The sequence below is a fragment of the Homo sapiens genome, chromosome 9 (genome assembly GCF_000001405.40).
Source record: "Homo sapiens chromosome 9, GRCh38.p14 Primary Assembly".
Classification (NCBI taxonomy): domain Eukaryota; kingdom Metazoa; phylum Chordata; class Mammalia; order Primates; family Hominidae; genus Homo; species Homo sapiens.
Window position 1 is genome coordinate 128,702,396 of NC_000009.12, and position 12,285 is coordinate 128,714,680.

Consider the following 12,285-nt stretch of genomic DNA (forward strand, 5'->3'; position numbering starts at 1 on the left):
GGCGGGAGCCAGGTTGTAGAGGGGCTCAAAGTTAGAGGAGGCGGCCAGCTCCACCGGCTGCACCCGGCTGGGCGACCCGGCAACCTTCAGGGGGCGCTGTTTCCCCCATCCCTGTCCCTAACTGGCCGGCTCCCGCGGGCGCGCGGCGGGGAAGGCCAGAGGACCTGGGCGCGGGCGATGTGCCTCCTGAGCGTCCAAACCGGGGGTGAGGCGCGGTCACGCCCAGCGGGAACCGCAGGCGCCGAAGCCCGGGTACTGGGCCCAGAATCCCGCGGAATTTTGGATCCGAGGGAGGCGCTGGGGCGCGGGACCTCGGGCGTGGGGTCCCGGGCGCTGGATCGGCGCGGACGGGAGGCGGCGCTGGTCCCGCGGGCCAGCGGGTCTCGGGAGGGGGCGCCCGATCCCGCGTCTCCGGCGCCGCTTCCCGGGAAGTTTCAAGTTTGAAAGTCCTGGCGGAGGGTCTGCGGCTTCCGGGACCGGAGTGGCTGAGAGAAGGGCCCCAAGCGGCCGGAGCGGCGCCATGGAGGAGGGGGCGCCGCGGCAGGTGAACGGCGTGGGAGGGGCGCGCGGGCCCGGGGGGTGCGAGAAAGCCTCTGTCATCGCCCCGGAGCCCCGAACCGCGGCCGCTTCCCCCGATCCTCCCCTCACCCGCGCCCCTTCCCTGCCCCTGCCCTGGCCCCGGCCCCGCGACGCCCTCGCAGAGCAGACCTGATCTCCGGGTTCGGTGGTTCCTGGACCTTGCACAGTCTCCAAATCAGTCCGCGGCTGACCCGGAGACTGAACCCCAACCAGCCCGTGAGCGAGGACGGCTGAGTCCGCAGTGTGCGCCACCAGGGTGGTCCCCAGAGTGTCCTTAAGTCGGTTCTCCTCGGTGGGGCTCCAAGGCCGACGGGAATTAGCCGGGATAGAAAGGCGGGGCACAGGGGCCTGGGGGGGTTAGAATGTGCGCGCAGCGGGGGGCGCAGTCTGTGCGCGCTTGGCAGTGGCAGGAGTCCTTCCCGGAGCACAGGAGGCACGAGGGGAGCGTAGATGAGAGGGGAGCGGCCTCCCCCGCCCCAGGGCGGGAACCTTTGGGTACATAGCGGGTTCTAGAATGCGGAGGGGGCTGGGTTTCCTGCCAGAGCTGGCAGTAGGTGCGCGTGGGCCCGGAGGACCGAGGCCATGTCTATCTGCTCCTGAGGAGGGAGAGGTGGTGTCCTGTTCCGGAGCGAGTGGTTGGGAGGGGGGCATTTGCGGACAGGAGTGGGTCCCCGCAAAGAGCGGAAAGGAGGTGGTGTGTGTGTCCATGTTGGAGTTCCAACCCAGGGCAGACGGGACCATGGGGGTGTTGCGGGGTGCGTGTAGACTCCTTGAGCGCCCAAGCCAGTCGTTTAGGCCGCCTTCAGGGCTGGGGCTCGGTCTGCCCCCTCCCACCCCCTTCCTCTGGAGGTCCCTCCGCCTGTTCCAGACGTAGCTTGTACACATTTTCCGATTTCCTGCGGGGCTCCGCCCTGCAGCGGCAGCTGGGTGACTCAGGACCCCGGTGGCCGGGCCCCCAGCTCCATGGGACCTTTGTTTGCTCCGGTCTTTGGCTCTGGCCCTGTGGCCTAGGGCGGTCAGAGGATTTCCTGAGCCTCGCCCTTGCCCTCTGACAGCTGGGCCAGCAGGCCCCGCTGAGGTCTGGGGTGGGGGGGTCCCTGAGTCTGGGGTTGCGGCCCCTTCCACTGGGCTCAGGAGAAGATGGAACACAGAGAGGTAAGATGGGGTTCCTGCAACAGCCCGTGTTGCGGGGCATCATGGGTTACCCGGCCTGAGGTCACCTTTGGCACCGGTTGGTTTGAAATGCTGGCGGCTGGAAAGGAGGTGTTCCTGTTCCTGGCTCCAACCTGGGTGAAGCCGTGAGAGAGCCTTCTACTTCCTCCCGGGAGCTGAGCAGGGAGTGGGCACCCGGAGACCTCCCCAGTTCCTCTCTGTGCCTCTGCTTTGCTACCTGTGGCATTGGGACATCAGGGGAACAAGCCCTGGCTCCCAGGCCCCTGGCTGCCTTCTCATGTGGCTTCGTGTGAACCCCTATTCGGCGTAGCTTTTGTGGCTCCTGGACTCTACTTTGGGTCCCAGATGTAGAGAGAGCAGCCTGATTACCCAGGGCTGCCAGGGACAGCTGGGGCCCGAGAGATGGTGGCCCCTCCTCTGTGTCTTGACTGTGGGCAAGTTACTTCACCTCTCTGGGCCTCAGTTTCCTCACTAGAAAATAGGGGTAATAGTACAGGCGTGGTGGCTCACACCTGTAATCCCAGCACTTTGGGAGGCCAAGGCAGGTGGATCACCTGAGGTCAGGATTCAAGACCAGCCTGACGAACATGGAGAAACCCCGTCCCTACTAAAAATACAAAATTAGCCGGGCTTAGTGGCGTGTGCCTGTAATCCCAGCTACTCAGGAGGCTGGGGCAGGAGAATCGCTTGAACCCGGGAGGCAGAGGTTGTGGTGAACCGAGATCGTGCCATGGCACTCCAGCCTGGGCAACAAGAGCAAAACTGTCTCAAAAAAAAAAAAAAGAAAAAGAAAAAGAAAAAAGAAAATGGGGGTAATGACCACCGCTACCGGGTGGGGTGGCTGGGAGGAGTGATGTGGTAATATATGCAAAGCACTTAGAATAGAACCTGGCACCCATTTACCGTGTGAACTGTCCCCCCCGCCACATCCTTCTCTAACGGGCGGAGGACAGGAGCCTGGCCTAGATGAGTGGCCTCGGAGTTTCCATCTGGCTCAGGCCTGAGCTCTAAGGGGAGAGAGGCTTCCAAAACCCTGTGCGAGTCAGTCCTGGGTGCCGTCCCTTCCTTCGCCTCCATCTGCAGTGAGCAAAGGCTGCTGGTGGCCGCTGCACCCCATGGCTGTTCTCCACCCTCTGCTTTCCACCGGCTCTGCAGCCTGGGCCGAGCCAGTGGCCCCCAGAGGATGAGAAGGAGGTGATCCGCCGGGCCATCCAGAAAGAGCTGAAGATCAAGGAGGGGGTGGAGAACCTGCGGCGCGTGGCCACAGACCGCCGCCACTTGGGCCATGTGCAGCAGCTGCTGCGGTCCTCCAACCGCCGCCTGGAGCAGCTGCATGGCGAGCTGCGGGAGCTGCACGCCCGAATCCTGCTGCCCGGCCCTGGGCCTGGCCCAGCTGGTGAGTGAGGAGCTGAGACCCCCTCAGGACAGAAGGCTCTAGGCCCATCTGGCCCCTGGCCTTGGCCCTGGCCACTGTGGCGAGACCACCTCATTTCCTGCCTATAGATCAGTAGGGGAAGGAGGAAAGGCCACAGTGGGGGTCTCGGCTCTGGGTGAGGGACTCCTGTGCTCGATACCCCCGTGCACAGAGCCTGTGGCCTCAGGACCCCGGCCGTGGGCAGAGCAGCTCAGGGCTCGGCACCTAGAGGCTCTCCGGAGGCAGCTGCATGTGGAGCTGAAGGTGAAGCAGGGGGCTGAGAACATGACCCACACGTGCGCCAGTGGCACCCCCAAGGTAAGGCCCCACAGTCTGATGGCAGGAGCACCCTGGCCCCTGGTCTGACAGGGAAATGCACCTCAGCCATTGGGCTCATAAGGAGACACCATTCCAGCCTGCAGCCTGATGGGGAAAATACAGCCCCAAACCCCAGCTGGGTGAGGAAGGCATGGCTGTAGTCTCTAGTGTGACAGAGAAGGCCTTGCCCTGGTCTAATGGGATCCTAGCCCAGCCCCAGTCCCAACTCCCAGCATGATGTCCAGAACTGGGCCTCAGTCCTTGTCTGACAAGAAGACTTGGCTGTGGCCCTGATATGATGACGGAGGCAGGACCTTAGCCTTGATCTAATGGGGGAGGCTTAGCTTAGCCCCTGCCCTGATCTGATGGGGGAGGCTTATCCCCAGCCCTGATCTGATGGGAGAGGCTTAGCTTAGCCCCTGCCCTCATCTAATGGGGGAGGCTTAGCTTAGCCCCTGCCCTGATCTGATGGGGGAAGCATCAACCCTGCTCTGATGGGGGAGGCATGACCACAGCCCTGATCTGATGGGGGAGAGTTAGCCCCAGCCCTGATCTGATGGGGGAGAGTTAGCCCCAGCCCTGATCTGATGGGAGAGGCATGACCCCAGCCGTGATATGAAAGAGGAAATTTGACCCCAGCCCTTGTTGGTCAGATGGAAAAGGCTCCCCTGACCCACCAACTAGTCCAACAAGGGAGGCTTGACTTTAGTGTTTGGCCTAGAGGTTTCACTTTAACCCTGTTTTGATGGGGGAGACCCGGCTCCAGTTCCTGGTCTGATGGGGGAAGCTGTGGCCCAGGCCTGGTCTGATGGGCCTGTGCTATGGCTCCATAGGAGAGGAAGCTCCTGGCAGCTGCCCAGCAGATGCTGCGGGACAGCCAGCTGAAGGTGGCCCTGCTGCGGATGAAGATCAGCAGCCTGGAGGCCAGTGGGTCCCCGGAGCCAGGTGAGGCCTTGAGACACAGGGAGGGCGGAGCAGGGAAGAGCAGGGCCTGAGAGCCGCCGTCCTTCCCACAGGGCCTGAGCTGCTGGCGGAGGAGCTACAGCATCGACTGCACGTTGAGGCAGCTGTGGCTGAGGGCGCCAAGAACGTGGTGAAACTGCTTAGTAGCCGGAGAACACAGGACCGCAAGGCACTGGCTGAGGTCAGGCCCCAGCCCTGGCCCTCTCCTAAGGCTGGCTTGTTCCCATACCACCCTCAGCAGGGGTGTGAAGGGAGGGTGGCCGTGTAAAAGCAGGACTTCTCTGTTGAGACTTCATGCGGAAGGTGGCTCCGGGTGACCTGGGCTGCTGCCCCCTGCCATATACCCCACGAACCTGGCTCTACGTTGTCCCCTCTGCAGGCCCAGGCCCAGCTACAGGAGTCCTCTCAGAAACTGGACCTCCTGCGCCTGGCCTTGGAGCAGCTGCTGGAGCAACTGCCTCCTGCCCACCCTTTGCGCAGCAGAGTGACCCGAGAGTTGCGGGCTGCGGTGCCTGGATACCCCCAGCCTTCAGGGACACCTGTGAAGCCCACCGCCCTAACAGGTAGTCAGAAGTTCCTCCCCCTTCAAAGCTCTCCTTCTTTTTGGGGGGAGGCCGGAAGCACAAACAACTCTGATGAAGAGTTCAAGAGTTCCAGTCCTGCCCCAGCACCCACTAGCAGCGTGACCTTGGCAAACTGACATTCCTTCTTCAAACCTCAGTTTATCCATCTGTAAAATGTGGATGATATAGCACCTACCTCATAGGGTTGCTGTGTTGCACGTGATGTGCTAAGCACAGTGCCTAGCACAGTCAGCACTCGGACAGCGTAGCTTGTATTTACATAAATAACCAGAATAATGCTTAAAGCACTGGTGTTAGGAAGCTCGCAGCCCTGGAAAGCTTGATACCCAGCACTGGGCAGCTTGGACTGTTAGAAAGTTTTCTAGGCTGGGCGTGGTGGCTCACGCTGGTAATTCCAGCACTTTGGGAGGCTGAGGTGGGTGGATCATGAGGTCAGGAGTTCCAAGACCAGCCTGGCCAAGATGGTGAAACCCTGTCTCTACTACAAATACAAAAATTAGCCGGGCGTGGTGGCGGGTGCCTGTAATCCTGGTTGCTCAGGAAGCTGAGGCAGAGAATTGATTGAACCCCGGAGGCGGAGGTTGCAGTGAGCCGAGATCACGCCACTGCACTCCACCCTGGGCGACGGGGCAAGACGCCGTCGCAAAAAAAAAAAAAAAAAAGGTTTTCTTGGGCCAGGCATGGTGGCTCATGCCTGTAATCCCAGCACTTTGGAAGACTGAGGTGGGCGGATCACCTGAGGTCAGGAGTTCAAGACCAGCCTGGCCAACATGGTGAAATCCTGTCTCTACTAAAAATACAAAAAAGTAGCTGGATGTGGTGGCACATGCCTGTAGTCCCAGCCACTCGGGAGGCTAAGGCAGGAGAATTGCTTGAACCCAGGAGGTGAGGTTGCAGTGAGCTGAGATTGCGCCGCTGCACTTCAGCCTAGGTAACAGGGCAAGACTCCATCTCAAAAAATAATAATAATAATTTCCTTGGAAAAAAAATAATAAAATTAAACTAAAATTGCTGGGTGCAGTGGCTCACACCTATAATCCTGGCACTTTGAGAGGCTGAGGTGGGAAGATTGCTTGAGCTCAGGAGTTTTTTTGAGACCCAGTCTCAAAAAAAAAAGAAAAAAAGAAAGTTTTCTTGGCTGGGCACAGTGGCTCAAGCCTGTAATTCCAGCACTTTGGGAGGCTGAGGTGGACGAATCATTTGAGCCCAGGATTTCTAGACGAGCCTGGGCAACATAGTGAAACCTCATCTTTAGAAACAAAAAAAATTAGCCGGGCGTGGTGGCGCATGCCTGTAATCCCATCTACTGGGGAGGCTGAGGCAAGAGAATTGCTTGAACCTGGGAGGCAGAGGTTGCAGTAAGCCAAGATTGCACTGTTGCACTCCAGCGTGGGTGACACAGCAAAACTCTTTCAAGAAAAAAAAAAAAAGAAAGAGTTTTCTGGTCTGGCTCAGTGGCTCATGTTTATAATCCTAGCAGTTTAGGAGGGTGAGGCATGTGGATCACTTGAGTCCAGGAGTTTGAAACCAGCCTGGGCAACATGACAAAGCTCCATCTCTACAAAAAATACAAAAATCGCCGGGCGCGGTGGCTCACGCCTGTAATCCCAGCACTTTGGGAGGCCGAGGCGGGCGGATCACGAGGTCAGGAGATCGAGACCATCCTGGCTAACACGGTGAAACCCTGTCTCCACTAAAAATACAAAAAATTAACCGGGCGTGGTGGCGGGCGCCTGTAGTCCCAGCTACTCGGGAGGCTGAGGCAGGAGAATGGCGGGAACCCCGGGGGGCGGAGCCTACAGTGAGCCGAGATCGCACCACTGCACTCCAGCCTGGGCCACAGCGAGACTCTGTCTCAAAAAAAAATAAAAAAATAAAAAAATTAGCCAGGTATGATGGTACGTACCTGTAGTCCCAGCTACTTGGGAGGCTGAGGTGGGAGGATTGCTTGAGCCCAGGGAGGTTGAGGGTACAATGAGCCATGATCGCGCCACTGCACTCCAGCCTGGGCAACAGAGAGCCCGTCTCAAAAAAAAAAAATTAGGCTGGGCACGGCAGCTCATGCCTGTAATCTCAGCACTTTGGGAGGCCGAGGTGGGTGGATCACCTGAGGTCGGGAGTTCGAGAGCAGCCTGACAAAAATGGAGAAACCCCGTCTCTACTAAAAAATACAAAATTAGCCGGGCCTGGTGGTGCATGCCTATAATCCCAGCTACTCAGGAGGCTAAAGCAGGAGAATTGCTTGAACCCGGGAGGTGGAGGTTGCAGTGAGCCAAGATGGCACCATTGGAATCCAGCCTGGGCAACAAGAGCAAAACTCTGTCTCAAAAAAAAAAAAAATTTGCAAAAATTAGCTGGGTGTGGTGGCGGGCGCCTGTAGTCCCAGCTACTCGGGAGGCTGAGGTGGGAGAATGGCATGAACCTGGGAGGCGGAGCTTGCAGTGAGCTGAGATTGTGCCACTGCACTCCAGCCTGGGTGACAGAGTGAGACTCCAAACAGAGTGAGACTCCGAGCAGAGTGAGACTCTGAGCTCTGTCACCCAGGCTGGAGTGCAGTGGCGCGATCTCGGCTCACTGCAAGCTCCTCTTCCCGGATTCATGCCATTCTCCTGTCTCAGCCTCCCGAGTAGCTGGGACTACAGGTGCCCGCCACCACACCTGGCTAATTTTTTGTTTTTGTATTTTTAGTAGAGACAAGGTTTCACCGTGTTAGCCAGGATGGTCTCGATCGCCTGACCTTGTGATCTGCCGGCCTAGGCCTCCCAAAGTGCTGGGACAGGTGTGAGCCACCGCGCCCGGCCAAAAAAGTTAATTTTCTTATCTTGCACTGAGATCTGTCTCCTTGTAGCAGCAGCCAAATCATCATCAACAAATAATCTGAGAGCATGGGCTTTGAAGCTGTATCCCACCGAGATACAGTGAGAGCTGGAAAGGCCAGTGCCTGTCTCCACAGAGCACTGCTACAGGGCCGACTGACCCCATTCCATTGTGAGCAGAGCTGAGAAGAGGAAATGCAGGCTCTGGATGGAGCCCTCTCACCTGGCCTTGGGGAATCGAGGAATATTTTCTTTTCTTTTTTTTTTGAGATGGAGTCTCGCACTGTCGCCCAGACTGGAGTGCAGTGGTGCGATATCAGCTCACTGCAACCTCCGCCTCCTGGGTTCAAGCAATTCTCCTGCCTCAGCTTCCCGAGTAGCTGGGATTACAGGCCTGCACCACCATGCCTGGCTAATTTTTGTATTATTAGTAGAGACAGAGTTTTGCCATGTTGGCCAGGCTGGTCTCAAACTCCTGACCTCAGGTGATCCATCTGCCTTGGCCTCCCAAAGTGCTGGGATTACAGGCGTGAGCCAACCATGCCCGGCCCAAGGAATGTTTTCTAGAGGAGGTGGTGTCTTGGCCTTGAAGGACTTACACGGGAGTACTTATGGCCAAGTAGACAAGTTGAGGAACGCAGAAGAAACAGCTTGTTAAAAGGCCTAGAAGTCAACTACTCAAGGCCACCCCATATCCTGTCCCCTGGCTAAACACCCCAGATACTTGAGTTGTCCTTTTTTTTTTTTGAGATGGAGTTTTGCTCTTATTGCCCAGGCTGGAGTGCAGTGACACGATCTTATTGCCCAGACTGGAGTGCAGTGGCGCAATCTTGGCTCACTGCAACCTCCGCCTCCCGGGTTCAAGCAATTCTCCTGCCTCAGCCTCTTGAATAGCTGGGATTACAGGCATGTACCACCACACCTGGCGAATTTTTATATTTTCAGTAGAGATGGGATTTCTCCATGTTGGTCAGGCTGGTCTCGAACTTCCGACCTCAGGTGATTTGCCCGCCTTGGCCTCCCAAAGTGCTGGGATTACAGGCGTGAGCCACCTCGCCCCACCTCTTTTTTTTTTTTTTTTGGAGACAGAGTCTTGCTCTGTCGCCCAGGCCGGATTGCAGTGGTGTGATTTCGGCTCACTGCAAGCTCTGCCTCCCGGGTTCACGCCATTCTTCTGCCTCAGCCTCTCGAGTAGCTGGGACTAACTACAGGCGCCCGCCACTGCGCCCGGCTAATTTTTTGTATTTTTAGTAGAGACGAGGTTTCACCATGGTCTTGATCTCCTGACCTCGTGATCTGCCCACCTCGGCCTCCCAAAGTGCTGGGATTACAGGTGTGAGCCACCACGCCCGGCCTTTTTTTTGGGGGGGGTGGGGGACAGAGTCTTGCTTTGTCGCCCAGGCTGGAGTGCAGTGGCATAATCTTGACTCACTGCAACCTCCGCCTCCCAGGTTCAAGCGATTCTCCTGCCTCAGCCTCCCAAGTAGTTGGGATTACAGGCGCCCACCGCCATGCCCGGCTAATATTTGTATTTTTAGTAGAGACAGAGTTTCACCATGTTGGCCAGGCTGGTCTCGAACTCCCGACCTCAGGTGATCCACCTGCCTCAGCCTACCAAAGTGCTGGGATTACAGGTGTGAGCCACCACGCCCGGCCTCAAGTTTTTGTTTTGTTTGTTTTTTTTTGAGCTGGAGTCTTGCTCTGTCGCCCAGGCTGGAGTGCAATGGCACAATATTGGCTCACTGCAACCTCTGCCTCCCGGGTTCAAGTGATTCTCCTGCCTCAGCCTTCCGAGTAGCTGGGATTACAGGTGCCCACCATCATGCCCGGCTGGTTTTTGTATTTTTAGTTGGGATGGGGTTTCGCCATGTTGGTCAGGCTGGGCTTGAACTCCTGACCTCAGGTGATCTGCCTGCCTTGGTCTCCCAAAGTGTTGGGATTACAGGCATGAGCCACTGCGCCCGGCCGAGCTGTTCTTTCTAAGCTTCTCTTTCTACCCTGGACCCCTGCCTTTGTTTACAAGTTCTCTCTGTGTGTAACCCCCAGGCCCAGACTCTCCCTAAATGATACTCTTGGGCCTGCTTCGTGTCCTCAAAAGCTGCTAGATCCCCACTGCTTTCTCTACCCTTTGAGGGACAACCCTCTAGTGACGTGACACATGAACTTACTCCGTTGACAAAACACGTTTCATATCCATTGGGAGAGGTGGGGCAGAGCTGGGACTCACCTCCACTGTTCAGATGGGGAAACTGAGGCCCAGGGAGCAGGTGGGTCCGGACAGGAAGCCAGGCTTCCTGCTCCCTGTCCCAAGCTCTTATCCTTGCCACAGTGCTCTCTAGGCCCCACTTCTAGGCAGCATCTCGTCATGTGCTGTGGCTCTGTGCAGCCTGGCTAAGGTCTGAGGTCTGAGCCTATGTCCCTGCCGCTCCAGCATGTGGAGGGGAGAGCCAGTTGCTCTGCCCTGGAAAGAGGTGGCTGCCACAGAGAAGTGTGCATTCTGGGACAACGTGGCTCCTCACCTGGGAGTGTCCAGGTCGGAGGCCTCCTAGGGTGTCATCGGGGTCCAAGGGTACCCTTTGGGGGGCTCATGGTGCTTGGGAGCTGCAGGACAGTCAGCAGGCTCCAGTCTAGGCACTCTAGGCCGCCACACTGAGTGAGGTTCCTCAGGTAACTGCCCTGGCCTCAGGTGGGTACGGTCTGGGTTCAGCCACCTCCTGGAGAGGGTGGCCTTCCTGGGGTCCCAGGACACCTTGGTGGTAGCAGTGGGAAGATGGCATCTGACAACGCCCCCCGCTCACTCTCCCCACAGGGACACTGCAGGTCCGCCTCCTGGGCTGTGAACAGTTGCTGACAGCCGTGCCTGGGCGCTCCCCAGCGGCCGCACTGGCCAGCAGCCCCTCCGAGGGCTGGCTTCGGACCAAGGCCAAGCACCAGCGTGGCCGAGGCGAGCTTGCCAGTGAGTAGGGAAGGAGCTTCAGGGGGAGCAGGAGACCCCTGCTTCAGGCCTGCCCTGAGTCCCGGCTCTGGCCCTGCAGGCGAGGTGCTGGCTGTGCTAAAGGTGGACAACCGTGTTGTGGGGCAGACGGGCTGGGGGCAGGTGGCCGAACAGTCCTGGGACCAGACCTTTGTCATCCCACTGGAGCGAGTAAGGCTGGCCTTTGTGTGGTCAGGGGTGACCTTGGGCTGCGGGGTGGAAGGCTGCCCAGGTCGGGGCTCGTTCTGCACCCCACCCTTCAGCCTGGCCTCCCCAATACAGGCCCGTGAGCTGGAGATTGGGGTACACTGGCGGGACTGGCGGCAGCTATGTGGCGTGGCCTTCCTGAGACTTGAGGACTTCCTGGACAATGCCTGTCACCAACTGTCCCTCAGCCTGGTACCGCAGGGACTGCTTTTTGCCCAGGTGCTCACCACCTCCGCCCTCTGACTTGGTGGGACCCTGGGGCGTCAGGGCCAGGAAGGCCTTCAAGACCGATGCACTGCGTGTAGGTGCAGAGACTGACGACCAGAGAGGAGGGCTCCAGGAATAAGGGCTCCTAGCCGCTCTCTCAGGGCTGCATCTGGAGGCCTGGGTCCTTGTCCTGACTGCCCTGCCTCAGGTGTGACCCTGGAAAAGTGCCTCTCCTCCCTGGGCCTCTGTTTCTCCACTAGTATCAATGAGGACATTGAATCTGTTTCTCTGGGTCTTTCTGGCTCTTGCATCTGTTGACCCTGGGGGCTTGGGCTGTAATCCCAGGGGCAGAGGAGGTGCCATGGCAGATGAGATGGGAGGCGACTGGTCCACAACCCTGCCCCTACCCCTGCAGGTGACCTTCTGCGATCCTGTCATTGAGAGGCGGCCCCGGCTGCAGAGGCAGGAACGCATCTTCTCTAAACGCAGAGGTGTGGAGGGAATGGGGGCTATGTGTGAGGGAGCAGGGCTGGGGTCCCGGGACTAAGCTCCCCCTTTTCTCCCAGGCCAGGACTTCCTGAGGGCTTCGCAGATGAACCTCGGCATGGCGGCCTGGGGGCGCCTCGTCATGAACCTGCTGCCCCCCTGCAGCTCCCCGAGCACAATCAGCCCCCCTAAAGGATGCCCTCGGACCCCAACAACACTGCGAGAGGCCTCTGACCCTGCCACTCCCAGGTGAGGAGCTCCCTTGCCCTAGACTGCATGCTCCTCTGTGGCGGCTTCCTGACTCCAGATCCAGGCGGTATCTGTCTGTCTGTCTGCATTGCTCAGCCCGCTAACCCTCTGTCCATCTCACTTTGGGTTGGTGTGTCCATCCTGCCAGCTCTTGCGTCTGCCTGTGCTGGGCACTGTGTCTACTTTCTCCCTACAGTAATTTCCTGCCCAAGAAGACCCCCTTGGGTGAAGAGATGACACCCCCACCCAAGCCCCCACGCCTCTACCTCCCCCAGGAGCCAACATCCGAGGAGACTCCGGTGAGGGGCTGGAGGG

General features: G+C 58.5%; 1 protein-coding gene and 1 pseudogene across 8 annotated transcripts in view, besides 5 other annotated features; both read left to right on the plus strand.

Annotated features, from left to right (window-relative positions):
- Positions 1-570: a silencer, noted in NCBI's record as "silent region_20349". NCBI's record gives its function as "represses an Ori minimal core promoter by ATAC-STARR-seq in GM12878 lymphoblastoid cells {active_cell/tissue: GM12878}" and the evidence as "EXISTENCE:reporter gene assay evidence [ECO:0000049][PMID:35858748]".
- Positions 1-924: a biological region, named in NCBI's record as "H3K27ac-H3K4me1 hESC enhancer GRCh37_chr9:131465059-131465598".
- PKN3 (protein kinase N3) overlaps positions 108-12,285 on the plus strand; it is an 18,414-nt gene continuing 6,236 nt past the window's right edge. For 2 of the 8 annotated variants that reach the window (NM_013355.5, NM_001317926.2), the window contains exons 1-12: positions 108-544; positions 2,908-3,148; positions 3,339-3,484; positions 4,318-4,429; positions 4,501-4,628; positions 4,827-5,010; positions 10,657-10,803; positions 10,883-10,992; positions 11,104-11,247; positions 11,651-11,726; positions 11,802-11,970; positions 12,167-12,269. In NM_013355.5, coding sequence (NP_037487.2) covers positions 521-544; positions 2,908-3,148; positions 3,339-3,484; positions 4,318-4,429; positions 4,501-4,628; positions 4,827-5,010; positions 10,657-10,803; positions 10,883-10,992; positions 11,104-11,247; positions 11,651-11,726; positions 11,802-11,970; positions 12,167-12,269 — 1,584 coding nt within the window. In that variant the 5' untranslated portion in view covers positions 108-520. Of the gene's footprint in view, positions 1,735-2,705; positions 3,149-3,338; positions 3,485-4,317; positions 4,430-4,500; positions 4,629-4,826; positions 5,011-10,656; positions 10,804-10,882; positions 10,993-11,103; positions 11,248-11,650; positions 11,727-11,801; positions 11,971-12,166; positions 12,270-12,285 lie in introns of all 8 variants that reach the window. The other 6 variants (XM_006717080.4, XM_017014649.3, XM_017014650.2 and 3 more) reach the window with 5 other exon arrangements.
- Positions 385-924: an enhancer, noted in NCBI's record as "H3K27ac-H3K4me1 hESC enhancer chr9:131465059-131465598 (GRCh37/hg19 assembly coordinates)". NCBI's record gives its function as "activates a minimal SCP1, AML or CMV promoter by ChIP-STARR-seq in naive H9 embryonic stem cells {active_cell/tissue: H9 hESC(naive)}" and the evidence as "EXISTENCE:reporter gene assay evidence [ECO:0000049][PMID:30033119]".
- On the plus strand, positions 7,385-7,648 carry RN7SL560P (RNA, 7SL, cytoplasmic 560, pseudogene; annotated as a pseudogene).
- Positions 10,549-11,050: an enhancer, noted in NCBI's record as "H3K4me1 hESC enhancer chr9:131475223-131475724 (GRCh37/hg19 assembly coordinates)". NCBI's record gives its function as "activates a minimal SCP1, AML or CMV promoter by ChIP-STARR-seq in naive H9 embryonic stem cells {active_cell/tissue: H9 hESC(naive)}" and the evidence as "EXISTENCE:reporter gene assay evidence [ECO:0000049][PMID:30033119]".
- Positions 11,051-11,550: an enhancer, noted in NCBI's record as "H3K4me1 hESC enhancer chr9:131475725-131476224 (GRCh37/hg19 assembly coordinates)". NCBI's record gives its function as "activates a minimal SCP1, AML or CMV promoter by ChIP-STARR-seq in naive H9 embryonic stem cells {active_cell/tissue: H9 hESC(naive)}" and the evidence as "EXISTENCE:reporter gene assay evidence [ECO:0000049][PMID:30033119]".